The sequence below is a fragment of the Homo sapiens genome, chromosome 1 (genome assembly GCF_000001405.40).
Source record: "Homo sapiens chromosome 1, GRCh38.p14 Primary Assembly".
Classification (NCBI taxonomy): Eukaryota; Metazoa; Chordata; class Mammalia; order Primates; family Hominidae; genus Homo; species Homo sapiens.
Window position 1 is genome coordinate 113,932,686 of NC_000001.11, and position 27,653 is coordinate 113,960,338.

The 27,653-nt window shown below is 39.0% G+C and overlaps 1 protein-coding gene across 17 annotated transcripts in view, besides 2 other annotated features; it reads left to right on the forward strand.

Annotated features, from left to right (window-relative positions):
• HIPK1 (homeodomain interacting protein kinase 1) overlaps positions 1-27,653 on the forward strand; it is a 48,546-nt gene that overhangs the window by 3,362 nt on the left and 17,531 nt on the right. For 7 of the 17 annotated variants that reach the window (NM_198268.3, XM_005270611.6, XM_005270610.6 and 4 more), the window contains exons 2-8: positions 7,697-8,774; positions 20,081-20,204; positions 21,966-22,085; positions 22,878-22,964; positions 23,942-24,126; positions 24,439-24,601; positions 25,381-25,606. In NM_198268.3, coding sequence (NP_938009.1) covers positions 7,699-8,774; positions 20,081-20,204; positions 21,966-22,085; positions 22,878-22,964; positions 23,942-24,126; positions 24,439-24,601; positions 25,381-25,606 — 1,981 coding nt within the window. In that variant the 5' untranslated portion in view covers positions 7,697-7,698. Of the gene's footprint in view, positions 1-454; positions 550-6,684; positions 6,799-7,696; positions 8,775-18,459; positions 18,608-20,080; positions 20,205-21,191; positions 21,248-21,940; positions 22,086-22,877; positions 22,965-23,941; positions 24,127-24,438; positions 24,602-25,380; positions 25,607-27,653 lie in introns of those variants that run through there. The other 10 variants (XM_006710443.5, XM_047449130.1, XM_047449128.1 and 7 more) reach the window with 5 other exon arrangements.
• Positions 5,070-5,597: an enhancer, noted in NCBI's record as "H3K4me1 hESC enhancer chr1:114480377-114480904 (GRCh37/hg19 assembly coordinates)". NCBI's record gives its function as "activates a minimal SCP1, AML or CMV promoter by ChIP-STARR-seq in primed H9 embryonic stem cells {active_cell/tissue: H9 hESC(primed)}" and the evidence as "EXISTENCE:reporter gene assay evidence [ECO:0000049][PMID:30033119]".
• Positions 19,108-19,308: a silencer, noted in NCBI's record as "peak375 fragment used in MPRA reporter construct". NCBI's record gives its function as "represses an SCP1 promoter by STARR-seq MPRAs in K562 erythroleukemia cells {active_cell/tissue: K562}" and the evidence as "EXISTENCE:reporter gene assay evidence [ECO:0000049][PMID:32103011]".

The window sequence follows — 27,653 nt, forward strand, 5'->3', positions numbered from 1 at the left end:
CCTTTTTCTCATCTCGGAATTAGGGGGTTTTAGAATCTTTAAGGTCCCTTTTATCTGTAAGAGTTCCAGTACTTTTTTGCTAGTGTCTTCTGCTCCAGTTAAATATATCTCCTTACTCTACACGGTTTTTTATTTTTCCACATCCTTTGGCATACTAGCATAGCAAAAGTCATCTCATTCTTCTGAAAGAGCCTCCTCCATCTTCCATTCTCCAAACTGCTGTTGCCTTACTTAAGTCCCGTTTTCCTTCAGCCTTTGCTGGCATATTGTTTATGTTTCATATTGATCTCTGCTTTGTTAATTTTAACTTTTTCTTATCCTGGAAACTCCTCAAGGTATAGTTTTCTTAATTCTAAGCTTTATAGACCTATAGACTGTTATGTGCAGGTACTAAAATGTAGTACCTTTTTACTAAACACAAAGCACTTACTTTTCTTTTGTTCTGTTGCCGTAGTCATTCCAAATAAATCTAAGTGAACTATTGATTTTGATACAAAGCAACAGCCTCTGCCACACTGAAGAAGTGAGCTTTAAGCAGAGACTAGAAGGGTAAGTAAAAGTTAGGAAAAGAAAAGCCTAAGGGGGAAAATGAAGTTCAGAGAGGAAACATGTTGAAGGAACTAGGGCCAGAGAAGGCAAGGTCTATTGTGGGAACCCAGAGAGACTTGGTAGTATTGGAAGAGAAAGTGCCTGGGGAAAAGCGCAGATGAAACAAGGCTGTGCAAGTAATCGTGGTCCAGATCTTGCAAGGCCTGGTAATCCAAATTAGGAATTTTGGTGTTTGTCCTAAGGTTTTAAGTGGGGGATAGGTACACTTTTTTTTTTTCAGATGTGCATTTTTAAAAGCTTCAGTTGAGAGGTGAATAATGAATTGGGAGAGGGGAGCTTAGAAAAGGGGCTTGAGGCCAGCATCGTGGCTCACACCTGTAATCCCAGCACTTTTGGAGGCTGAGGTAGGTGGATCACTTTAGGAGTCTGAGACCAGCCTGAGCAACATGGTGAAACCCTGTCTCTACAAAAAATACAAAAAAATTAGCTGGGCGTGGTGGCATGTACTGGTAGTCCCAGTTACTCGGGAGGCTGAGGTAGGAGGGTGGATTGAGCCCTGGAGGTCCAGGCTGCAGTGAACGAACCATGATCGTGTACTGCACTCCGGTCTGGGTGACAGAGTCTCAAATAAAGGGGGGAAGTTGAGAGTACAATTTGGAGGAAACCAGTTAAGCTGTTTAAGTATGGGATTGTGCAGTAGGGGTGGAGAAAACTTAGGAGAGTAGAGAGAGATTTAGGTGTTCTGTTGGGAAGAATTTTCTTCCCAAACTTGTCTCACTTTGTTTTTACAGAAGATGTACTCTTATCATCTGTAAAAAATATGTATCAGAGTATGTGATAGACAATATGTATACCTGTGTTCATGTCATCTGAGGATAAGTGCTGGAGCAAGAAATCAATATATAGTACAGTTTTTAGGTCATTTGGCTAACCAGCTGTTAAATTGTATGAAAGAGGCAAAGATAACATTGAGCAAAAGCAACAGGAATTTATTACTGGTGTGTCAGGAAAAAGGTTACTGAGGGGTAAGGACAAATCAATGGAAAATGATTACCTGGGTTGTCTTATCCAACTGTTCCATTCAGGGTTATAATATTTGGATCCTTTTAATAAGATTATTTGCCTATAGTGCTTATAGTGTGGAGCACCCAGTAAATAATGTTAAATGGATGTGACCATGCCAGGGAGTGGGAAAGTTGTTAATCTGTTTTTGAAAGCCTTGGATTCTAGCTATTATCTTTTAGCAATAAGTACAAGTACCAATGATCTTTTGCCCATCATTGCTACTTTGGTATTAATGAACTGGGCAAATTTGTCATTATATTGAGATGGTTAAGTCCTTGGAAAGTCAGATTTGAAATGTAAAGACTTCATTTATTGCTGGAGTCAAGAGGCGCAGCATTTTCAGGAAGTCAAAAATAACTTTTTATGCCAGGTACGGTGGCTCATGCCTGTAATCTCAATATCGTGGGAGGCCAAGGCAGGAGGAGGATTGCTTTAGAGCAGGAGTTTGACACCAGCCTGGGTGACATAGTAAGACCTCATCTCTGAAAAAAAAAAAAAAAAAAAAAAAAAATTAGCCAACTGTGGCATGTGCCTGTAGAAATTAGCCAAGCGTCCTGGTGTGTGCCTGTAGTCCTAGCTACTTGGATGGCTGAAGCAGAGGATTGCTTGAGCCCAGGATTTCGAGGATACAGTGAGCTGTGATCACACCACTGCATTTCAGCCTCACTGACAGTGGTGAGAACCTGTCTCAAAAAAAAAAAAAAAAAAAGAATCAGCTGTTTTTTTTTTTTAAACCTTTATTTTAGGTTCAGGGGTACATGTGCTGGTTTGTTATATAGGTAATCTATATGTCACAGGGGTTTGGTGTACAGATATTTTGTCGTCCAGGTAATAAGCATAGTGCCTGACATTTATTTTTTCTGATCCTCTCCCTTCTCCCACCCTCCACCCTGAAGTAGGCCCCAGTGTCTGTGGTTGGCCTCTTTGTGTCCATGTGTTCTCGTTCTTTAGCTCCCACTTTTAAGTGAGAACATGCAGTACTTGGTTTTCTGTTCTGTGTTTGTTTAGGATAGTGGCCCTCCAGCTTCATCCATGTTGCCTGTTGCTGCAAAGGACATGGTCTTGTTCTTTTTTATGGCTGCATAGTATTCCATGGTGTATATGTATCACATTTTCTTTAGTCTACCATTGATGGGCATTTAGGTTGAATTTCATGTCTTTCCTATTGTGAATAGTGCTGCAGTGAACATATGCTTGTGTCTTTGTGGTAGAATGATTTATATTCCTTTGGGTATTTACCCAGTGATGGGATTGCTGGATCTAATGGTAATTCTGTTTTAAATTCTTTGAGGAATTGCCACATTGCTTTTCACAATGGGTGAACTAATTTATACTCCCATCAGCAGTATAAGTGTTCCCTTTTCTTCACAACCTTGCCAGCATCTGTTATTTTTTGACTTCTTAATAATATTCATTCTGACTGGTGTGAGATGGTATCTCATTTTAGTTTTGATTTGCATTTCTCTAATGATTAGTGATGTTGAGCAATTTTTCATATGCTTGTTGACTGCAAGTGTGTCAAAAATAGCTTTTTAATTTATTGAGTTGCTATTCACATTGAATTGAAAATATCTGTAATTTGCCTCACAGATTCTGATATATAGTAAGTTTTCCACAGATGTTAATTCTGTTTTTGTTGTTGTTGTTGTTTGAAAGCTCTCCACCTAGGAAGAGAATTGCCTCCCCACTTGCAAAGGCAAGTTTAATAGAACATAATATCTTTATCCTGTGTCTAGAAATTGCTGTTTTAGCTGAGTTTCAGAGTAGAATATAAATAAGAGTCTGTTGGTTTTTCTAGGCCATTGTGATTCTGTATTTTCTTCTCACCTTGTGTTAATTGAGGTCAGAATGAGTCTCAGCCACACTGTAAGAACCCCGGTGGTCTGATACTGACTTTTTGTACATCACACCCTTGCTGTGGGGAAGACCAGTGAAAGAATTCTGAGTTGTCCTTTCCCCTTGGGTGAACTAAATTTGTCTTTATGGATAAGAACTATAATCATTTAATATTAAAACATTCTGAAAAATATCCTAGAACTTGTACTTTTTTCAGTGCCCAGTGTGAAGATCTGAAATCATAAGTAATCTTTTATTATGTTTTTTGGGTAAAAAGTTGGCAATAATGTTACTCTGCCAAATGCAAAATTTTATAGAGTATCTAGTTACGAATCCTTTTTTTTTTTGAGATGGAGTCTCACTCTGTCGCCCAGGCTGGAATGCAATGGCATGATCTCAGCTCACTACAACCTCTGCCTCCCGGATTCAAGTGATTCTCCTGCCTCAGCCTCCTGAGTAGCTGGGATTACAAGTGCGTGTCACCACGCCCAGCTAATTTTTGTATCTTTAGTAGAGATGGCGTTTTACCATGTTGGTCAGGTTGGTCTCGAACTCCTGACCTCATGATCTGCCTGCCTTGGCCTCCCAAAATGAATACATTTTTAAAAATTTGGTATTTCATGAATTCTTTTCAGTATTACTTTATGACCCCCCTATTCCTAGACAGTTGCTACAAACTGCAAATTTTCTATTTAGATTCTTTCACTAAATACTTCAAGTTACATAAAAGTTGTGTTTATGTTTTTTGATAGATTGTTAAAATTAGGTGAACAATATTAACATTGTTAATGGAAAACAAATTTAGAAAATTTGCTTCCTTTTGTTGTTCAACAGGTTGGCTTAATTTTATGATAAATACTTACACATATATTTTAATAGGTGCATTTTGTAAAGGAGGTACTTGGTTTCAGATTTTTCTTTTATTATATTTGGTATTTCAGTGAAGTAGGTAGAACAAGATGATTTGTAAATTCAGCCTCACAGTTAAATTGTACTGACCTTAGCTTTTAATTTGTACTTTTTTTTCTCTTCAAAGTTTATATAAATTATGGAAACTCTTAAAGTAAATCTCAACTGAGTTTTAGAAATTGAAGGCAGAGGATTTGTTCTTTCCAGCTGACTAGTCCAGTGCAGGTGGTTTCTAGTTGTATTCAGGCACAAAGAAATGTACTTACTGCCTTTTGATGTTCTGTAACATCCTTTGTCATGTTTCCTTCCTTTCTTGTTGTGTTTATTCTTTTATGATTAGTAATGTTATACTGTATGGATTGGAGTAGAGACTTCCCCCATGACTCAAGGACCACACAGATAAAAAGGAGGGAAGACATTAAAAAAAAAAAATCAAGGATCGAGCATTTGAAAATACTACAGTTGAATGTGAGTGGTAGGGAGTTGTATTTAATAGATATGAGATTGGTAGGCAGGGGTCAAATAATTCATCCAACAGATAATTGAGTATGTATATATTGTCAGTCTGTATAAGGCTTTGGTGATAGAAGAGCAAGACAGAGATGGTACATGTGCCGGAGCTTATACTGTAGCTGGGAATGTAGCATTAAATAAATACTTTCAAGTTAACAGGTTGCTGTGGGAATGCATGGTGGGGGCAGGGGGTGATCGTAGGGAGCGTTTCTGCATGTGACAGAGGTGTCAGGGCAGTTTTCGCAGCAGAAAGTCTTCAACATATTTAGAGGGCCTGGAGGTGAGTGGCCTTCCAAGAACTAAAGAAAGAAAGGCAGTGTGGCTAGAGTGGGGGTTAGGGGAGGAATCAAAGTGGGGAGATGTTGGAAGGCAGCAAGCAGATTTTGGAGTGCATTTTAAGGCAGGTTGAGACAGGTTTTTTTTTTGAGATAGGATCTAGCTCTGTTGCCCAGGCTAGAGTGCAATGGAGTAATCACAACTCACTGTAGCCTCAATGTCCCAGACTCAGATGATTTTCCTGCTTCAGCCTCCTGAGTAGCTGGGACCACAGGCATGTGCCACTTACACTTGGCTTTTTTTTTTTTTTTTTCCCGGTAGAGATGGAGTCTCCCCATGTTGCTCTGGCTGGTCTTGAACTCGTGGACTCAAGTGATCCTTCCACCTTGGGTTCCTAAAGTGCCAGGATTACAGGCGTGAGCCACCACATCTGGCCTAATTTTTCTTTTCTTTTCTTTTTTTTTTTTGTTAATGCTTCCCAGGCTGATCTTGAACTCCTGAGCTCAAGTGATCCTCCTGCCTGGGCCTCCCAAAGTGCGGGAATTACAGGCTTGAGCGACCATGGCCAGCCAAGTTGAGAATCTTGGACATTATCTCCAAAGCAATGAGAAACCCCGGGAGAAGGGGAAGCAAGATGGTTAAGAAGAGAGAGCAGTTATCTGATTTGCATTGTTTAAAAGCAAAGATCTACTGAGTGGATTTAAGGAGATTAGTTTGGAAGCTACTGGCAGTTTGAACTAGAATGGTGCCAATAAGGGTAGGGAAAAAGGGCTGATTTGAAATATACTTAGGAGGCCAGGGGCAGTGGCTCACGCCTGTAATCCCAGCACTTTGGGAGGGTGAGGGGGGTGGATCACTTGAGCTCAGGAGTTTGAGACCACCCAGGCAACATGGTGAAAACCCATCTCTACTAAAAATACAAAAAAATTAACTGGGTGTGGTCGTGCACGCCTCTACTCTCAGCTACTTGGGAGGCTGAGGCAGGAGAATTGCTTGAGCCCCAGAGGTGAAGGTTGCAGCGAGCCAAGATTGCACCATTGCACTCCAGCTTGGGCTACAGAGTGAGACTCTGTCTCAAAAAAAAAAAAAAAAAAATACACACACACACACACACACACACACACACACACTTAGGAGATGGAATGGATAAGATAGAGATTAGATGTGGAGGAATAAGGGAGAGGAATGAGCCAGGATAATAGTATTAAATATGTGGTAGACACTATCATTTTACATGTATTAAATTATTTAATTCTCAGAACAACCCCATGAGGTAGGTATTGCTATCACCATTATGTAGCTGAGGAAACAGACATCCCTAATTTTTTTTCTTTTTTTTGAGACAGGGTGTCATTCTTTCACCCTGGCTGGAGTGCAGTGGCACGATCACAGCTCACTGCAGCCTCTACCTCTGGGCTCAGGTGATCACTTCTGCCTTCTGAGTAGCTAGGACTACAGGCATGTGCCACCATGCCTGGCTAACTTTTTTTTCTGTTTTTTTTTTTTTTTGTTGTTGTTGTTGTTTGTTTGTTTTAGAGACGGTTTCACCATGTTGCCCAGGCTGGAGCTCCCTGATTTCTGGCTTGAGGCGTTGGATGTGTGATGGCATCTCATAATTAAGATAGAAAACTGAAGGTGGGGTGGAGGCTCGTAAGTTTAATTCTGAATGTATTGAATATGAGGTGTTTGTGAAATGTCCAAGTTGCAGGGTTAAGTAGTCATTTGGATATAGGGTTTGGAGTTCAAAGCGAGAGAATCCTGGGTTAGAGATAGAGATTTTAGTCTTTTGAAGATGACTAATTTTGAGGAGTAATTATTAAAAAGGGGCAAAGGGTAGAGCAAGGAAAGAGGGATTACTATAGAGCCCCAAGGCATATGAGATCGGATGGTTGAAAATGGAGAAGATAAATATGAAATGGCTTGTGTGCTATGTCAGATGTTTGGACTTTATTCTGAAAAAATAGCTTTCAGTTTAATCTGTGGGCTTATTGAGCTGGAAGTGTCTGTGGGATATTCAGGGACAGAAAGCTGGACTGTTCTTACATCCTTTCCTCATATTTTTCTGCTAACTTTCCTCGGTTCTTCAGAATATACTCTAGCTTTCTCATCATCCTGGTTACTTTTTTTTTTTTTTTTTTCAATTTTAGTATTTTTAGAGACAGGGTCTCACTACATTGCCTAGGCTGGTCTCGAACTCCTCAGCTCAGGAGATCTTCCTGCCTTGGCCTCCCAAAGTGCTGGAATTAAAGGCTTGAGCCACTGTGCCTGGCCCATACTGGTTACTTTTTTATCTTAAAATGTGGTAGACAATTGAATGCATTTTATGTATGACCTGAGCAGAGTGGATAATCTTCACTTTGTCCAGCACGTTCTGTACACTGTTTCTATGAATATAGGTCAAGATTGAATTAGTTTTTGAGAAGAGGAGAACATTATTACATCATGTTTCTTTTATCAAGTAAAAGTGTGTGTGTGTGTTTGTGTGTTTTAAATCTAAGCCTTGTATCTTTTATCCTTGTGGTCTAATTCTTCCTTTCTCTCAATATAGGTATGGCATCACAGCTGCAAGTGTTTTCGCCCCCATCAGTGTCGTCGAGTGCCTTCTGCAGTGCGAAGAAACTGAAAATAGAGCCCTCTGGCTGGGATGTTTCAGGACAGAGTAGCAACGACAAATATTATACCCACAGCAAAACCCTCCCAGCCACACAAGGGCAAGCCAACTCCTCTCACCAGGTAGCAAATTTCAACATCCCTGCTTACGACCAGGGCCTCCTCCTCCCAGCTCCTGCAGTGGAGCATATTGTTGTAACAGCCGCTGATAGCTCGGGCAGTGCTGCTACATCAACCTTCCAAAGCAGCCAGACCCTGACTCACAGAAGCAACGTTTCTTTGCTTGAGCCATATCAAAAATGTGGATTGAAACGAAAAAGTGAGGAAGTTGACAGCAACGGTAGTGTGCAGATCATAGAAGAACATCCCCCTCTCATGCTGCAAAACAGGACTGTGGTGGGTGCTGCTGCCACAACCACCACTGTGACCACAAAGAGTAGCAGTTCCAGCGGAGAAGGGGATTACCAGCTGGTCCAGCATGAGATCCTTTGCTCTATGACCAATAGCTATGAAGTCTTGGAGTTCCTAGGCCGGGGGACATTTGGACAGGTGGCTAAGTGCTGGAAGAGGAGCACCAAGGAAATTGTGGCTATTAAAATCTTGAAGAACCACCCCTCCTATGCCAGACAAGGACAGATTGAAGTGAGCATCCTTTCCCGCCTAAGCAGTGAAAATGCTGATGAGTATAATTTTGTCCGTTCATACGAGTGCTTTCAGCATAAGAATCACACCTGCCTTGTTTTTGAAATGTTGGAGCAGAACTTATATGATTTTCTAAAGCAAAACAAATTTAGCCCACTGCCACTCAAGTACATCAGACCAATCTTGCAGCAGGTGGCCACAGCCTTGATGAAGCTCAAGAGTCTTGGTCTGATCCACGCTGACCTTAAGCCTGAAAACATCATGCTGGTTGATCCAGTTCGCCAGCCCTACCGAGTGAAGGTCATTGACTTTGGTTCTGCTAGTCACGTTTCCAAAGCTGTGTGCTCAACCTACTTACAGTCACGTTACTACAGGCAAGTGGCAAATGCTGAAAATCGTATCTTAGGCTAGAGTTCTGTCCTTATATTTAACATATACCCCGTAGGCTACATATAGCAATGAATTTGTTTATAGATTCTGAGATAGAAATAGGATATGTTTTAGCTCATTCTATGTGTGTGGCATTCCTATATATGACATTTATTTCTGAAATTTTATCTAGCACTGGAAAAATTAACTCAGTCTGATTCTGAAAGTTGTTACTAGTTGAATTATACTAGCACCTGGTTCTTTAGTATTATTTTACCTCATTTTCCCATTTTATTTATTTTATTTATTTATTTATTTATTTAGAGACAGAATCTCGCTCTGTCGCCCAGGCTGGAGTGCAGTGGCGTGATATCAGCTCACTGCAAGCCCCACCTCCTGGGTTCACGCCATTCTCCTGCCTCAGCCTCCTGAGTAGCTGGGACCACAGGCACCCGCCATCACGCCCGGCTAATTTTTTTTGTATTTTTAGTAGAGACGGGGTTTCACCGTGTTAGCCAGGATGGTCTCGATATCCTGACCTCGTGATCCACCCGTCTCGGCCTCCCAAAGCGCTGGGATTACAGGCGTGAGCCACCGTGCCCAGCCTATTTATTTATTTTTTTAAGATGGAGTTTCACTTGCCACCCAGGCTAGAGTGCAGTGGTGTGACATTGACTCACGGCAGCCTCCACCTCCTGGGGTCAAGTGATTTCTCCTGCTACTCCTGTCCTGAGTAGCTGGGACTACAGGCACCTGCTACCACGCCCGGCTAATTTTTTTGTTTTTAATAGAGATGGGGTTTCACCATGTTGACCGGGCTGGTTTTGAACTCCTGACCTCAGGTGATCCACCCGCCTCAGCCTCCCAAAGTGATTAGAGGCGTGAGCCACCATGCCCAGCCATTTTCCCATTTTGAAGAGTCTTGAAATACACAAAGATATTTACTTATTTGTAATGAATCTGAGCATATGTTGCTGTTTTTTCGAACCTCTTATCTTGGCAGGTAAAATAACGTGGGAATAACTCTAGGTTTAACTCTAGTAACATTTTATTCTTTTACATTTTCTTCTGTAGTAGCATGAATTGAATTACATGGTTGCTACAATCTCTTCCTGTTTTAACTTTCTCTAAATACTTTGAACTTAATGGGTTATCCTAGAATGGCCTTGACCCAAGTACCTTATACTTTAATGATATATATTTCTAGATTGATACTTTTAATGTAGCTACCATTTTAATATATAATAATTATTGGGACAGTATGTAAATGCTGATATATACAATTTTGTCTGTACCATAACCAAGGCTTTTAAAATGTGCTTTTTATCAGCACCCATTTACTTACTTGCCTAGTTATTAATTTTAAGGAATCTAATATTTAGTTTTAATGGCCATACATTAAATACAAATCATGTAAGCATCCAATCAAGAAGTGAAATAATAAAAACATAGATAACCTATAAAATATGTTTATAAGGAGCTATACATGCCAGATGCCTGTAATAAAATTTGAGGAAATAGAAATTCTGAATTAAGAATTTTATATTATGTGTGAAAATAATGTGAGGATATTTTAACCCATACAAGGACTCAGAAAAAATGTCATCTGCATGTTTCCTTTTTTAAAAACATTGTGGTAAGATGTTTATAATAGGAAATTTACAATTTTAACCATTTGGTACCACTCATTGTGTTAAGTACATTCATAGTGTTGTGTAACCATCACTGCTGTCTGTTAAGTATATTCACAATGTTGTGTAACCATCACCACTATTTCCAAATGTTTTCATCACCCAAAACAGAAATTCTAACCATTAAGCAATAACTCCCTATTCTCTCTTCTTCCTACCACTGGTAATCTTGATTTGACTTTCTGTCTCTATGAATTTGCCTATTCTAGATACTGCATGTAAGTGGAATCATACAATATTTGTCTTTTTGTGTCTAGTTTATTTCACTTAGTGTAATGCTTTTGAGGCTAATCCATGCTGTAACATGTATCAGAACTTCATTCCTTTTATGGCTGTATAATATTCCATTGTTTGTATATACCACATTTTGTTTATGCATTCATCTGTTGGTAGATATTTGGGTTGTTGCTACCTTTAGGCTGTTGTGAATAATGCTGCTATGAACATTGGTGTACAAGTATCCTAGTCCCTATTTTCAGTTCTTTTGGGGATATAGCTAGGAGTGGAATTGCTGGGTCACATGATAATTCTATGTTTAACTTTTTGCAGAATTACCAAATTATTTTCCACAGAGGCTGCACTATTTTACATTCCTACCAGCAGTGGATGTGCATTCCAAATTTCTCCACATTTTCTCTAACATTTGTTATTTTTTTTATTTAAAAATATTGTTTGTTTATTTTTACAGAGACAGGGGCTGCCTCTATTGCTCATGCTGGAGTACAGTGGCACGATCATAGTTCACTGTAGCCTCCAACTCCTGGACTTGAGCAGTCCTCCCACTTCAGCCTCCCAAGTAGCTAGGACTGCAGTCACACTCCACCATACCTGGCTAATTACTATTATTTTATTTTTTGTGGCGACAGTGTTTTGAGGGTCTCATTTTGTTGCCCAATCTGGTCTCAAACTACTGGCCTCAAGCCATCCTCCTGCCTCAGTCTCCCAAAGTTCTGGGATTACAGGTGTGAACTACCACTCCTGGCCTTGTTTTGTTTTTTAAATAATAGCCATGGGTTTTTTTTTTTTTTTTTTTTTTTTTTTTTGAGATGGAGTTTCACTCTTGTTGCCTAGGCTGGAGTGCAGTGGTGCGATCTCGGCTCACTGCAGCCTCTGCCTCCCAGGATTCTCCTGCCTCAGCCTCCCGAGTAGCTGGGATTACAGGTGCCTGCCACCACACCCAGCTAATTTTTGTATTTTTAGTAGAGATGGGGTTTTACCATGTTGGCCAGGCTGGTCTCGAACTCCTGACCTCAGGTGATCTGCCCACCTTGGCCTCCCAAAGTGCTGGGATTACAGGCATGAGCCACTATGCCTGGCCAATAATAGTTTTTTTTTGTTTTTTTTTTGTTTTTTTTTTGAGATGGAGTCTTGCTCTGTTGCCAGGCTGGAGTGCAGTGGCACAATCTCGGTTCACTGCAACCTCCACCTCACAGGTTCAAGCAGTTCTCCTAGCTTGGCCTCCTGAGTAGCTGGGAATACAGGTGCCACCATGCCCAGCTAATTTTTGTATTTTTAGTAGAGACAGGGTTTCACCATGTTGGCCGGGATGGTCTCGATCTCTTGACCTCGTGATGAAGTGCTGGGATTACAGGCATGAGCCACCGGGCCCGGTCAATAATAGCCATTCTTATGGGTGTGAAGTGGTATCTCATTGTGGTTTTGATTTGTATTTCCCTAATGATTAATGATGTTGAGCATTTGTTTTATTTTGTTTTGTTTTGAGACAGAGTCCCACTTTGTCACCCAGGCTGGGGTGCAGTTGTGCAATCATGGCTTACTGCAGCCATGACCTCTCAGGCTCAAGCAGTCCTCCCACCTTAGCCTTTCGGGTACCTGAGACTACGGGCATGCACCCCCACACCTGACTAGTGTTTTGTATTTTTAGTAGAGACGGGGTTTCACTGTGTTGCCCAGGCTGGTCTCAAACTCATAGGCTCAAGTGATATGCCCGCCTCGGCAACCCAAAGTGCTGGGATTACAGACATGAGCCACCATGCCCAGCCTGGCATTTTTTTATGTGCCCGACATCTGTATATCTTCTTTGGAGAAATGTCTATTTAAGTCCTTTCCTCATTTCTTGAATTGGGCTTTTTGTTGTTGAGTTGTATACTCTATATACTTAATTTTCATCTATTCCTTGGGTTGCCTTTTTACCTGTTGATAGTGTTTGACACAGAAAAGTTTTTAACTTTGGTGAAGTGCAGTTTGTCTACTTTTTCTTTGGTTGCTTGTGCTTTTGGTGACATATCCAAGAAGTCACTGTTAAGTCGAAATCATACAGATTTTCCCCTATGTTTTCTGCTAAGAGTTTTATAGTTTTAGCTCTTATATTTTGGTCTTTGATTCTTTGTTGATTTTTGTCTATGGTCCAAGGTACAAATCCAGTGTAATTCTTTGGCATGTGACTATTCAGTTCTTCAAACACCATTTGCTAAGAAGATTGTCCTTTCTGCATTGGGTGGTTTGGGCACCCTTGTTGGAATCATTTGAACATATATACAAATAATTCTTATCTTCTATTGCTTTCCCATTTTCAATGTTGGGCTCTCTATTCCATTAATCTATATATGTCTTTATGCCAGTACCACATTGTTTTGATTATTGTAGCTTTGTAGTAAGTTTGAAATCAGGAAGTGTGAGACCTCCAACTTTGTTCTTTTTCAAGATTGTTTTGGCTATTTGGGGTCTTTGAGGGTCCATATAAATTTTAGGATGGGTTTTTCTATTTTATACAAAAACCATAATTGCTTTTTATTAAGGATAGCGATGAATCTGTAGATGACTTTGGGTAGTATTGACAGCTTAATAGTAAGTCAGTCCATCCTTATTTCTTTATATCTTTTCACAGTTTTATAAAACTGGTATTTTTTACTTGAGGTAAGGTAAATAAACTCTTAGAGCCTTTGTTTTCTGGTTTTATGCTGCCCTAGGCAACCTTGGCTAACTTTAAGAATGTCATCTCCATTTATTTATTTATGCCTTGGGAGATTTAGGTTCCAACTACATTTGCTTTTTAATGCTCTCCTTTGAGCAGTCTCACCACCAGCCACACCAACATAACATATATATAACATACTCTACAGGTGCACTGAAGAATTCAGCGCAGCATCCCATTTTGAGTCCTCAGGAGGGACTAGGCAGACCACAGCTGAAGGAAGAGGGCTGATCAGCTCTTCCTTTCTGTCTTGACTCTGTGCCTGCAGGTGTTCTTTAACTATTTGTTTGCCCTGTCAAAGACAAAGTGCATTCTCTTGTGATAACAGAGTAGTTTTTAAATTGAAAAAGGGAGAGCAATAGGAGATAAAAATTATTTGGCTTTGTTATAATTGGGGCATGTTAATACAAAATAAAATGAATTATTTGGCTGCTTAGCTTTCTGTAATGTGTAATTCATTTGAATAATTTTCAGTGTTAGGTTGCTGATCTTTGTATTTTTTATCCTTTTAATTTAAGCTGTCAATTGATTCATTTTGGTTTTGTTTTTTATAGAAACTAAGGTTTTCAAATCTTCAAAGTTACCCTTCGACAAAGCTTTCTTTAAATTCACTGCAATATAGTTGTTGACTATAATTTTAAGTGGAGCTAAGTTTGCCTCTTAAAAACAGGAGTTCATTCTGTGTATTACTGAGTAATTACTCTGTATACTGAAGTTCAGTGCCCAGGGCTTGACAGTGTTTAGGATTTAACATGAGTGTTCTGTTGTGTCACAGTAATACTTGATAATGAGCCTAAGGCAGATGGAACAGCAGCTCAGGCATTCCTTCTTTATCACTAGTTTTACCCGCAGTGGTCCTCTTAAGCTTCTTTGATGTTGCTTTGTTGCCATATTAGAGTCCATTAAGTCCTCACCCTTCTGTCTTTCAAAAAACCTCTGTGAAATCTGTTTGGCTGGTGAAGCATTTTGACTCCAAAGCTAGTCCTTCTCTTACCCACCTTTTTAGTTTACCTTGCTTTGTCTTTCTGATAATATGCCAGTATTATCAGCTCACATAAATTTGCCAACTTGCTGTGTCCATTGGCCCTGGGCATGGCTAAATGATTCAGGCAGTGGAAATAATATACTTTACTCTCTGGCTCACTGTAAATGTGCACAGACTCCAAGCAAAGCTCCTGTCTTTCGGGCTTGAGTTTTAGAGACAAAGGTTTGCCATGCTTACAGGCTGAATGTTTTTCCCTACTGAACAAACTAGCCAGCCTTTATTTCAAGCTGAATCACTTTGTTACTTACGGAAGGAAAAGGTCTAGAGAAGGAAAACGTATCTTCCATTTATCCTAGACAAACAAATAATCTAATTTCCTCTGGCAGTCAAAATATAGTTTCACCTAAGCCACTGATGCAGGAAGTTAGGTTTTATGTAACCTCTCTAATTGGTAAGTAAGTAGGTTTGATGTCTCTGAGATAGGAAGAAAGAAACGAAAATGTTCATGAAAATAATCAGAGTGATTTGTGTTAAGTGATCCTAACCTTAGCTTGCTCTGGGTGCCAGTGAAATTAACCTCAACAATGTTGGTTGGAAGAATTTTTCAACTTAAAGAAGTTTGAAGTTGGGGAATCAAAAGGCAGGGATTGTTGTTTCTATCACTTAGCTGTAATAACCAGAGCCTGTTTAGTATTTGTTTTTTAAGGATGGGATGTGTCTTCAAAGAGGAGACTTGCCATGTTCAAAGCACAATTAATGCCATTTTCCTACTGAAGTGAACACTGCCAGTTTTTAACAGTTTCTTTCACTTTCCTGTGCTTCTGTAGATAACCTTTTTTACTGCCCAGTTGTTGGAATGTTACAGCTGGAAAGGGACCTAGAAGAGTAATTATCTAACTCTGTTTCCTTATTACACAAATGAGGTAGAACCAGAGTTTTACGTGTCTGTAGAGTTTATATTGAGGGATTAAGAAATAAGGAGGCCAAGAGGAAAGATGTAATGAAAATAATTCTAATAATTATAATCTGGATTCACAGTTTAAAGTATTCAGTCCTTAGAGATAAACCTGCTCTAGTGATGCCTTACTGTTCAGTAAAGTAGAAAATAACTTGTCTTTTTGCTTCGTAGAGTTTGGGTAAGTCTAACATTTATAGGCCCAAATAATACAAAACCCTCAGTGAACTAAGCAGCCTTACTGCTTTTTTGTTTGTTTTTGAGACAGGGTCTCAGGCTGGAGTGCAGTGGCGCAATCATGGCTCACTGCAGCCTTGACCTCCTGGGCTCAAGTGATCCTTCCACCTCAGCTTCCTGAGTAGCTAGAACTGCAGGCATGCACCACCATACCTGGCTAATTTTTTAAATTTTTTTGGTAGAGATTGGGTCTTGCTGTGTTGCCTAGGCTGGTCTCAAACTCCTGCTCAAGTGATCCTCCTGCCTTGGCTTCCCAAAGTGCTGGGATTATAGGTGTGAACCGCCGTTTCTGGCCGTATTTTTTTTTTTTTTAAACTGCTTTCCTTTTTTTGTTTTTCCTTTTGCTATTTGCCTTTTTATAAGGTAGATACGGTAGAGTTGCTGTTTTGACTGAGCTTTTGCTGGAAGTCCTTAGCTGCTTTTGTCACTCCAAAAGCAGGGTGAGACCAAATGAAAAAACTTTCAGCTAATCTTCAGTTTTTTTTTTTAATTAAATGGGACTTGGGGGCTGTGGAAGTGATATTTTCCTTAATTTCCCAGAAAACTTTAAGCTCGAGACAGTTATCATATATTATTGCTACCTTTTTTATTTTTTTCTGAGACGGAGTTTCGCTCTTACGCCCAGTCTGGAGTGAATTGACGTAATCTTGGCTCACTGCAACCTCTGCCCCCCGGGTTCAAGCGATTCTCCTGCCTCAGCCTCTGGAGTAGTTGGGATTACAGGCGCCTGCCACCATGCCCAGCTAATTTTTGTATTTTTAGTAGAGACTGGGTTTCATCATGTTGGCCAGGCTGGACTTGAACTCCTGACCTCAGGCCATCCACGTGCCTTGGCCACCCACAGTGCTAGGATTATAGGCGTGAGCCACCGCGCCTGGCCTGTTATCGCTACCTTTTAAAGAAGAAAGTTATAGAGTGGCCTGGCCATTCTCTGTGACCTACCTTTTGGACTTTAAAATGTCTTTCTAGTATGGTAGGAATAGCAAAATCAATATGCTGCCCTCCAATTGATGCTTTGGAATGTTCTAAACCCAGTTTTTATTTTGGCTCATTGCCAGTTGTGCTCCCCCTGCCAGCTATTTTTGGCATTGTCATGAACTTGGAAATTAATGATTCTGCTCACTAGGAGTAGAAAATTTTGTTCCTTTTCAATTTTAGAAAAGCTTTTATGTTGTTTCTGGGTAGTCTTACTAGCTTATTAATGCGCCTGTCAAACTTGTGCAGTGTTGAAAACATGCCATTATGGTTGAGATTTCACTGAACTCTGAAATTCCATCAGTAATATGTGCCTCTAGCCACCTGCAACAGGAATATCACTTTTGAGGGTTACTTCTTTTCTTTTCTTTTTTTTTTTTTTTTGAGACAGAGTCTTACTCTGTCACCCAGGCTGGAGTGCAGTGGCACTGTGTCAGCTCACTGCAACCTCCGTCTCCTGGGTTCAAGCAATTCTCCTGCCTCAGCCTCCTGAGTAGCTGGGATTACAGGTGCCCGCCACCACACCTGGCTGATTTTTTATATTTTTAGTAGAGATGGGGTTTCACCATGTTGGCCAGGCTGGTCTCAAACTCCTGACTTCAGGTGATCCAGCCTCCTCGGCCTCCCAAAGTGCTTGTATTACAGGCATGAGCCACCGCACCCGGCCAGTTATTTCTTTGGTAAACAAAACCACAGTTCAAATTAAATACTACAAAAACTGATGATATTGGTGGTTCCACCCATAGCTGTTAAAAAGTGTAAGCCCGAAGAGGCCTGGGTCGACTGCTATTTGTATTTAAGGATCAGAAAAGCTTTCAGGCCCTGTGGAGTCCCCAGATTTACTGTTTTCTAAGGGCCACTATTTATGTATAAATACTAGGGGAGGATTTTTTTTTTCTTCTATGCCTAGTTTGCTTAGATGGGGAGGGATATTCTTATTTAGGGAAATTATATTCTCCTTGCTTAATCCTTGCCTTCCCTCAACCCCCTGCACATATACACAAAACAACAATAAGCACATATCACTTGAAAGTAGTTTGAGAAACCTGGGTATTCTGTGAGGAGACACGGCCAGTTAGATGGTTCTTCACGGAAAGATCTGTTTTCCATTTAACTCCTGTAACATGAGGAATCTGAATCTGGATCTGGATCTGGATCTGGAGTGTCCTTATAGATTATAATTCCATGACTTGTAAGAAAGAAAGGAAATTATTTGGAGAAGATGATCCAGTGCCTAAGAGCTGAAATCTTGGATCCAAATAGCTTGGGTACCATCCTTTTTCTTTTGTTGAGATGGAGTCTCGCTCTGTCGCCCAGGCTGGAGTGCAGTGGCAGATCTCAACTCATTGCAACTTATGCCTCCCAAGTTTAAGTAATTCTCTTGCCTCAGCCTCTGAGTAGTTGGGATTACAGCTGCCCGCCACCATGCCCAGCTAATTTTTGTATTTTTAGTAGAGATGGAGTTTCACCGTGTTGACCAGGCTGTTCTCGAACTCGTGACCTCAAGCAATCCACTCACCTTGGCTTCCCAAAGTGCTGGGATTACAGGTGTGAGCCACTGCGCTGGCCAAGGGCACCATCTTTTAGTAGTTATGTAGCCTTGGGCAAGTTACTTTAACCTCTTAGTGCCAGTTTCTTCATCTGTAAAATGGAGGTAATACTTTTATTGCATAGAATCTAACATGCCATTGATTATAAGATACATTATTTTTGTACCACTTAAAAAAGGAAAAGCGCTGCCATTAAACTAAAATATACCATCATTTGTAAGAATCTTCTTAATTTCAGAGGTGCTAACATGTAAAAAGATGTGTATCTTAGAATTGATGACATCATAATAATACTTTGATAGGATTGTTGTAAGGATTAAGTGACTCAACATTTATAAAGAACTTAGAACAGTGCATGGCACATAGTAGGCAATATTTATGTGTCATTTATTATTATTGCTATTAGTGTTACCTATTATTTTCTTTTTGAACCCACTTATTGCCTAATTAGTCATAGTTTGACAATTGCCCTTGTATTCCACCATGTCAAATATAAATTTACATAGATGAGTATGTACTTTTACTTATTGAGAAACAGTGTAATATATAATATACTCAATTCTGGAGCCAGATTGCAGGGATTCAAATCCTAGCTCTGCCACTTATTTGACTGTGACTCTAGGCCAATAACTTAATCTTTCTTTTTCTCAGTTTCTTCTTCTGTAATGGGGATAATAATTCTATTTTAGATGTGTTCGTATATATAAACGTCTGAGTTATGGATTACCTTAGTCATCTCTTTAAAGTTCCCTAGCATTTTATTTCTCACTTGGACTGTTAATGAATATTTCTAAAAAGCACACTAAGAGTTCAAAGTTTTAAAATAATGGTAACATAATACTGTTATTATATCTAACACCTACTAGTATTTACCATGTGCCATGCACTGGTCTAAAAGCTTTCATATATTTATTTAAGCTTCACAACAACTCTATGTGGTGGGAACTCTTACTGTCTCCATTTTATAGATGAGGAACCTGAGGCACAGAGAGATCAAGTAATATACCTGCAGCTATTAAATGATGGAACTAGGATTCAGACCCTGACAGGCTGGCTCTAGAGAGTGTGCTGTCAACACCATGTCTCTTCAGAAGGCATTTCTTTTTCTTTTTTTTTTTTCCAGAAGGCATTTCTGTCATGAAGGGTTATTTATTGACCAGGGCTTTTTTTTTTTTTTTTTGGACTGTCTTGGGTCTCCTAGGCTGGAGTGTAGTGGTGTGATCTTGGCTTACTGCAACCTCTACCTCCTGGGTTCAAGCGATTCTTTTGTCTCAACCTCCTGAGTAGCTGGGATTACAGGCGCCCACCACCACACCTGACTCATTTTTGTATTTTTAGTAGATTTGGGGTTTCACCATATTGGCCAAGCTGGTCTTGAACTTCTGACCTCAGGTGATCCACCCGCTTCGGCTTCCCAAAGTGCTGGGATTACAGGCATGAGCCACTGTGCCCAGTTGACCAGGCCTTTTAATTGATTTTTTTTTTTTATGATTGAAATGGTGCTAGGAATAATAATAAAAAAAATCTATTATCCCTTATCTGTGATTGCAAAATTCAGAAAGCTCTCATAAATGAAAATTTTTCTTTAAGTTTGGTATAAATTCATTTAATTGGCAAGACCTGACTTGAACCATTGTTAAGCTATTTGAAGTCTTTATTTAGCCAACTTAGTATGACTGTTCCATGTTTTGTTGCAGAAATATTAATGTGTTTGATTATAGTGCACTGCCCTGAACTCCACTGGGATTATTATATAATGTGTACTTTGTGTTCTGCATTACCTTTCTGAAATTCAAAATATTCTGAATTCCAAAACACATCTGGCCCTGAGCTTCAGATGATGGATTGTATACCAAAGATTTTTTTTCCATTTCATTGAATAAATGTTCCTTTAGCTAATACTAAAACAGGACTTAGTCATGTAGTTAATTTTCCCAAATAATGTTTTTTTTTTTTTAATCTGATATTTTTTGTTTTTGCTAGAGCTCCTGAAATTATTCTTGGGTTACCATTTTGTGAAGCTATTGATATGTGGTCACTGGGCTGTGTGATAGCTGAGCTGTTCCTGGGATGGCCTCTTTATCCTGGTGCTTCAGAATATGATCAGGTAAAAGTGTTTATTTGAATGGAAATAGAATGCAAATAGTTACTTGTGAATTAGATTCTGGAGAAAGAGAAGTACTAAGTACTACTGAAGTATTTAGATAATAGGGAAAGAGTAGTCCAATTGCTACTAAAGAACTTTTTAAAGAATAGTATAATTTTCTCTTCCTGCTTCTTAGGCTAAAGTATGTTTGCAATTCTATAATAAAAAAAAGAATTTTATTTTATATTAAGGTTGATACTTTGCTAGATCTGTAATGATTTATTAGAGACTTAACTTTCATTAACTTATGTGCTTTGTGAGTTAGGAAAGTAGAGTAAAGATGAGGAACTGGAATTTTAAAAGAGAACTTCTACTTACTCGGAGCTATTATAATTTACTTTTACGCATGACACACTGAAGTACTTTCTTCAGACTGAAACACTTCAGGTCCCAGAAGCTGTGACATACTGGGTCGCTAAGATAGGATTTAGAAAGGAAATCATCTGAGTTGTAGTAATATATGATCTGTATCTAAAAATAGACAAACTTTAGGAGATATGGTATAATTTCCTAAGGAATTGGTCCGTTAAGGGAAAATGTTTTACTATGGAAGTAAATTGTGAATTCTCATTTCTTGTTATTTTTTCTTTTTTCTTTTTATTTGTTTGAGATGGAGTCTTGCTCTGTCACCCAGGCTGGAGTGCAGTGGCGCGATCTCGGCTCACTGCAACCTCTGCCTCCCTGGTTCAAGCGATTCTCCTGCCTCAGCCTCCTGAGTAGCTGGGATTACAGGTGCCTGCCACCATGACCAACTAATTTTTGTATTTTTTAGTAGAGACGGGGTTTCACCATGTTGGCCAGGCTGGTTTCGAACTCCTGACTTCAGGTGATCCACCTGCCTCAGCCTCCCAAAGTGTTGGGATTACAGGTGTGAGTCACCGTGCCTGGCCTTCTTCTTATTTTTTAAAAATGTTCCTGCCCTTTATGATGTAAGCTCCTTGAGGGTAGAGATTGTTTCACATCACCAGTGTATCCTCAGCTCCTAACACTGTGTCTGGTACACAGTAAGTACACCAGTTTTTTTGTTGTGGTTTTTAAGTTTTTATTTTTTTAGAGACAGAGTCTTGCTCAGTCACCCAGGCTGGCATGTAGGCCTGTCACAGCTTACTGTAACCTCTAGCTCCTGGGCTTAAGTGATCCTCCCACCTCAGCCTCCCAGGTAGATGGGACTATAGGTGCATGCCACCTTGCCTAGCTAATTCTTTTATTTTTTGTAGAGTCGGGGATCTTGCTATATCAGCCTAGGGTGGTCTCAAACTCCCAGGCTCAAGCTATCCTCCTACCTTGGCCTCCCAAAGTACTGGGATTACAGGTGTGAGCCACCATGCCTGGCCTATATTGTCAAATATCTTTACTTGTCCGTAAATACACTTCTACCTTGTCATTTACAATGTCTGCATGGTATTTTGGTTTCCAGCTACAGGATTTAGAAAGGAAGTTATCTGAGTTGTAGTAGATTCCACAGATTTGAAGTATTAGAAGTCAACAGGAAAAGCAAAAAAGATTATAGCCAAAATTTTCAAAACTGGATTTCCTTGTAAATAATAGATACAGTAGCTGTGGATGGATTAGTATATATAGGTATTTACAGATAAATTTCAGTTGTATTGATTAAAGATTTGATTTCTTCCTTTGCCTAAAGTTAATGATGTTTTAGTGTAAAAGCCTTTAATAATTTCCCTTTTCACTCCAAATAGTTGTTTGATGGTTTTGATGTTTCAGATTCGTTATATTTCACAAACACAAGGCTTGCCAGCTGAATATCTTCTCAGTGCCGGAACAAAAACAACCAGGTTTTTCAACAGAGATCCTAATTTGGGGTACCCACTGTGGAGGCTTAAGGTCTGTCTTCCCTACTATGCTTCCGACTCCTGTACTCCACCCCTCACTCCCCAATTTTGAATTCAAAGTTTAGTTATTAAATTCTTCAGGTAGAGAAGGGAAAGGAGAGGGGGAAGCATTTTGAAAAATTATTTCTTTGTACCTGTTTGGCCTTATCCTCAGTTGAAAAACAAAACATTAATTGCTAGTTCAGTTGGCTGAGGTTATTTTGTATATGTTCAATCCACAGCTGATAGAAAGTTTGGAGGGTAGTGCTCACCATTAAGCGATAGAACTAGAGACATATAGTAATGACTGATTTTTAGAGAATTCTCAATGAACATGATAAAATCACAAATTTTCTAACTGCCCACATTCAGGACTTCTATATTTTTTCTTGAAACAAATACCTGCTTTTTACTTCTGAGCCTACTCTGTCAGGTTCAGAAATATCTGAGTAATTTGACTAACCCTGTGACTGTGTGTCTGAGTCTGTTGAACAGTTAGCATTTGAGATATCGATTTATTTGAAAGTAGCTTTAAGAGAACAATGGTAGTGTCCCCTTTTACCTGACATTCTTTAGGAACTGTGCTGTATCATTACTTGCATGTTTATCACTGTTGAAAGGGTAGCTAGATATCAAGGTCACATCTCTCCACTGGAAGATTTTCTGGTTGTGAATTACTTTCATGTTTGCCATCTATGGTTGGCAAGGTGACCACACTTGTCTCTTGTATTCTGGCTTTGGTTTTGAATAAAATGTGAAAATAACATACAGATGGAATTTAAGGAGGAAAATCTTTATTTTATAGACACCTGAAGAACATGAACTGGAGACTGGAATAAAATCAAAAGAAGCTCGGAAGTACATTTTTAATTGCTTAGATGACATGGCTCAGGTGAGTACGGAAAGTTTCAGAAAGTCAGACATTTATTTTTAATCAGAGACACTTCTGTTGATTATACTAAAGACAAATTTAATGTTATCTTTCTAGTATTTGTTTTCAGTTTTTATAAAAAATGCATTAATATTCCACCATGTAGTAAAGGAACATTTAAATCCTAACCAAGTATATTTTTAGAATTACATATTTCTCTCTTGCTTTACTTGTCTTGTTACATAGCAGTGTTTTAAAATATTACTTATGAAAGTTTCTTGTCCCATTTTCTCTATTAAATACTTAAGAATTATATTTATTGAGCGCCTATTATGTTACGAACTCTGAACACTTCACACTTATGTCATTTAATTTTTTCAACAGTAGAAGCTTTTATATTTAGGTAGTAACAATCACTATTGCTTAGCTACTTGTTCCATTTTTTTTTTTTTTTTTTTTTTTTTGAGACAGAGTCTCACTCTATTGCCCAGGCTGGAGTGCAGTGGCGTAATCTCAGCTCACTGCAACCTCTGCCTCCCGGGTTCAAGCGATTCTCCTGCCTCAGCCTCCCAAGTAGCTGGGATTACAGGCACGTGCCACCATGCCCGGCTAATTTTTGTATTTTTTTTAGTAGAGACGGGGTTTTGCCATGTTGGCCAGGCTGGGTCTCAAACTCCTGACCTCAGGTGATCCACCTGCCTTGGCTTCCCAAAATGCTGGGATTACAGGCATGAGCCACCGCGCCCAGCCCCCAAATTTTTAATGACAAGAAATTGTTTAGCTTTCTTCTACCACTCAATTTAGATGAAGATTTTAATTAAACAGCATAAAAAGAGCTTCCTCCTCTGAAAATGATTAGATTTTCATAAAAAGAATTTCCCCAGGTTTCTCTTTTGATTACATATATACACACACACATAGTTTGGAGGGAAAGCAGCTATGTAGTGTCAGTGCCAAAGGTTAAGTGAAGAAGTATAATTCTGAATTTTCTTTGGAAGGTGAATATGTCTACAGACCTGGAGGGAACAGACATGTTGGCAGAGAAGGCAGACCGAAGAGAATACATTGATCTGTTAAAGAAAATGCTCACAATTGATGCAGATAAGAGAATTACCCCTCTAAAAACTCTTAACCATCAGTTTGTGACAATGACTCACCTTTTGGATTTTCCACATAGCAATCAGTGAGTATGGAATATTCTGGGGCTTTTGCCATGTGGTTCTTTGTTGAGTTACCGCCTTATCAATGGCACTATCAAATGAGCCCGCCACTTTGGTGCTTATAAATCTGGCTCAGCAGTGCTTTTCTTTCTCATTGAAACATCATAAGATAAAAATTAGATGTGTATTTTTCTTCCCTATGATTATACAAATTCTTGATTTATTTTATCTGAAAGTGATTGGGAAAAAAAGCTTTGATCCATGTTCATCTTGAGTTATTTGCTGTCTGTTTAAATCTCAGCATTCATTTAATGAATCTTTAATCTCCTTTTCAGTGTTAAGTCTTGTTTTCAGAACATGGAGATCTGCAAGCGGAGGGTTCACATGTATGATACAGTGAGTCAGATCAAGAGTCCCTTCACTACACATGTTGCCCCAAATACAAGCACAAATCTAACCATGAGCTTCAGCAATCAGCTCAATACAGTGCACAATCAGGTATTCAATAAATAATTTTGGAAACTCAAGCTTAAGTGGGATAGAAACTAGTAAGAATACAGGGCAAGGTAAAGAACCAATTTTTGTTTTGGTGGTCTTGTTGCTTCTTAGAAATTCTCCACTTGACAAAAGTTGATGGAAAACAGGGTAGACTGATAATACTTACCAGGCACAGGCTAACTAAAGTTAAATATAAAGGCCTAATCCATGCCCTCATATGTTCAGCATCGTCAAATAAATGGGGTCTGACTATTATGCTACTTACTGCTGTTAGTTTTACTGACTTTAGCCAAATGACTTTCTCCCTGTTAGGAGAAGGATTTTATATCTCTTGTTACTGTATTGAAAGGTTTCCAGTCATTAACTTTAAGGGTGGTTTTGCATTTGTTTGCTAGCCAGTGATATTTGCATTTAGGTTTATTTCTGAAGATGTAAGCTTCCCAGTTTCTTGGCTGGGTCTACTTTTTTAATGGAAGAGCCTATGAGATTTGGTGGGATCTTCCATCCAGTAATTTTTTGTGCAGAAGTAGTTGGGGTTTGTGTAGCCACAGCCAACATAGGACCATTCGTTTTTTTTTTTTTATTTGCTTATTTGACCATATAATATGCCTTCAATTTAGGGACTAGGGAAGTTTCTTAAGCAGAGAGTTATTTCAGAGGCAGTTAACATTACATTTTAAAACATTATTCTACGTTTTTCTGGATAAATTCTGTATATATAAAATTATTGTGTGTCTCTACTTAATACAAGTGTACAAATATAATCCTTTTGTTTTTAGGCCAGTGTTCTAGCTTCCAGTTCTACTGCAGCAGCTGCTACTCTTTCTCTGGCTAATTCAGATGTCTCACTACTAAACTACCAGTCAGCTTTGTACCCATCATCTGCTGCACCAGTTCCTGGAGTTGCCCAGCAGGGTGTTTCCTTGCAGCCTGGAACCACCCAGATTTGCACTCAGACAGATCCATTCCAACAGACATTTATAGTATGTCCACCTGCGTTTCAAAGTAAGTGGGGAAACTCCTGTATCATATGGTATTGTATCAGACCTACCTGCTTTAGGCAGCTCTAGTTGTTTAGTTCTGATCTTTACAAGTTTAAACTCTGTCTCTGATGAAGAAGGTAACTAAAATTGGGTAATATCACAAAATGGATTTTCTCTTTTTACATAGGCTATTTATCTAATTATGATGCTATCTGATGCATTGTAAGAGCTCACTTTATGTTTCCTTAATTGAATTGCCTGATACCAGTTTTCTTGCCCATTGAGTCCTTGTGTCAATGTCGTACGTCTTGTATAAGCATGTATCTGTCAATATGCAAAATCTATACAACTTGAAAAAATTTGTTGTAAGCAGAATTGCTAAATATTGGATCTTATTGCCTATATCATTCTATTATAAAAATTATGTTCCCAATAAAAAGTGATTTTATTCTAAAATGTAAAAATCATGTTTAAGAATGTGGAAACATCTTAAATTACTTAAGGAAAGAAAAATCATTATTTATTGAACTAAAAAATCCTACAGGCTGAGGTGCTTGTGTGGGGCAGGCATTAAGATTATCTTCTTCAGCTTATGAATCATATAGTTCCTGCAAACTCCTGTCAACAGAGGAACAGAATAGCTGAAGGAGGAGGCGGAGTCCCTGTGTTGCAATAAGATTTTAATTTTCACATTCCCATCCTTCTTAATTTTCACATTGTTGTTCTGTAATCTAGTCTGTCCAGTTTCTTTTTTCTGTATATGGGAAATGTGTGTTTAATCATTTGGTAAGCCATTTAGAAGAATGTTACTTTAAGGCTAAAATCTAATGACACATTTGACTTTCCCAAGAGAAGGTCAGTGTCAGTACCCTGTGAGAATAAACCAGGATTCAGGTATTTCATATAACACTTTACATAGAAGCAGGTAGCATTTTTGCCTTTTTACATCAATTACTTATTGACCGTGACTCTCTTGTTTGTTTGGTTTCTGATAGAGTCGGAGCAAGCAGAAGGAAAAGAGGGGCTAGGGGGGTCAGAGAGATTACCAGGAGGACAGGAGAGCAATAGCGATATAAACCAGGGAGAAACCACAGGGAGAGCAGAGGGACAGATTCAAAATCCGTAAATGCACGTTTAGCCTAACTTACCAAATTATTTTCTGCATATGCTTCATAATAGTAAATTCTGTAGTTGGGATTGTCGTATGTTGAGTGATTCTTCCACAGAGCTTAGCAGATTAGCCACTTTTTTCACCACTTTTTCCGAAGAGTTTCATTGGAACAGTTTTCAGATGTGGGACCCTGAAGTTTTCTGCTGCTTCTCAGATGATACAAGATGAAGCAGAAGAACTTTTGAGTTCCTTTAACAAAACAAAATGTAAACTAATGAAGTTAGAGGGGAAAAGTGGGATAACCCTTTTTAGTATAATTAGGTAAGCTTTGAAATTTTTCCTATCTAGGAAGTATAAATAACCTGAGGAGTTATTAGAGCATACTTAAAATTTTCCAAATGAAAAAGGAGTTTTAAAATTAAGGTGATGATGATGATGCCTGATATGTATTACTATATGCCAGATAATGTTCCAAGTGCTTTTACATGTATTAATTTATCTTCACTAACAATTCTAGGAGGTAGGGTAATGTCATTATCCCCAATTTATAGATGAGAATTTTGAGCATGGTTCCTTCATATGCCCAAAGTCCTATAACTAATTATTGCAGAACCATGATTTGAACCCAGGCAGGGGAATTCATAGCTTCTGTATTTTGAGGTATTATCCTTATTGCCCTTCAGTTGCCAGCCATCACTAGTTGCTCATTTCTGTGCAACAATGGTCTTATTCCAGGTTGCCCACTTTTCTTGGACTATCTGTTCTTTTACAAGATGACTATACTTACAGGAGGATAGATCCTCATCAGTTAGGCAATTTATTCTTTCCATACTTACCTGATTCTTTATTTAAAGGACTATGTTCAATAAAACAAAATAATAACAAAAAATGAAACTATAATCCCTCTTAGGTCAGGAACCGGGGAGAACCTTCCAACAGTGTTGCCTTTTGTTAATTC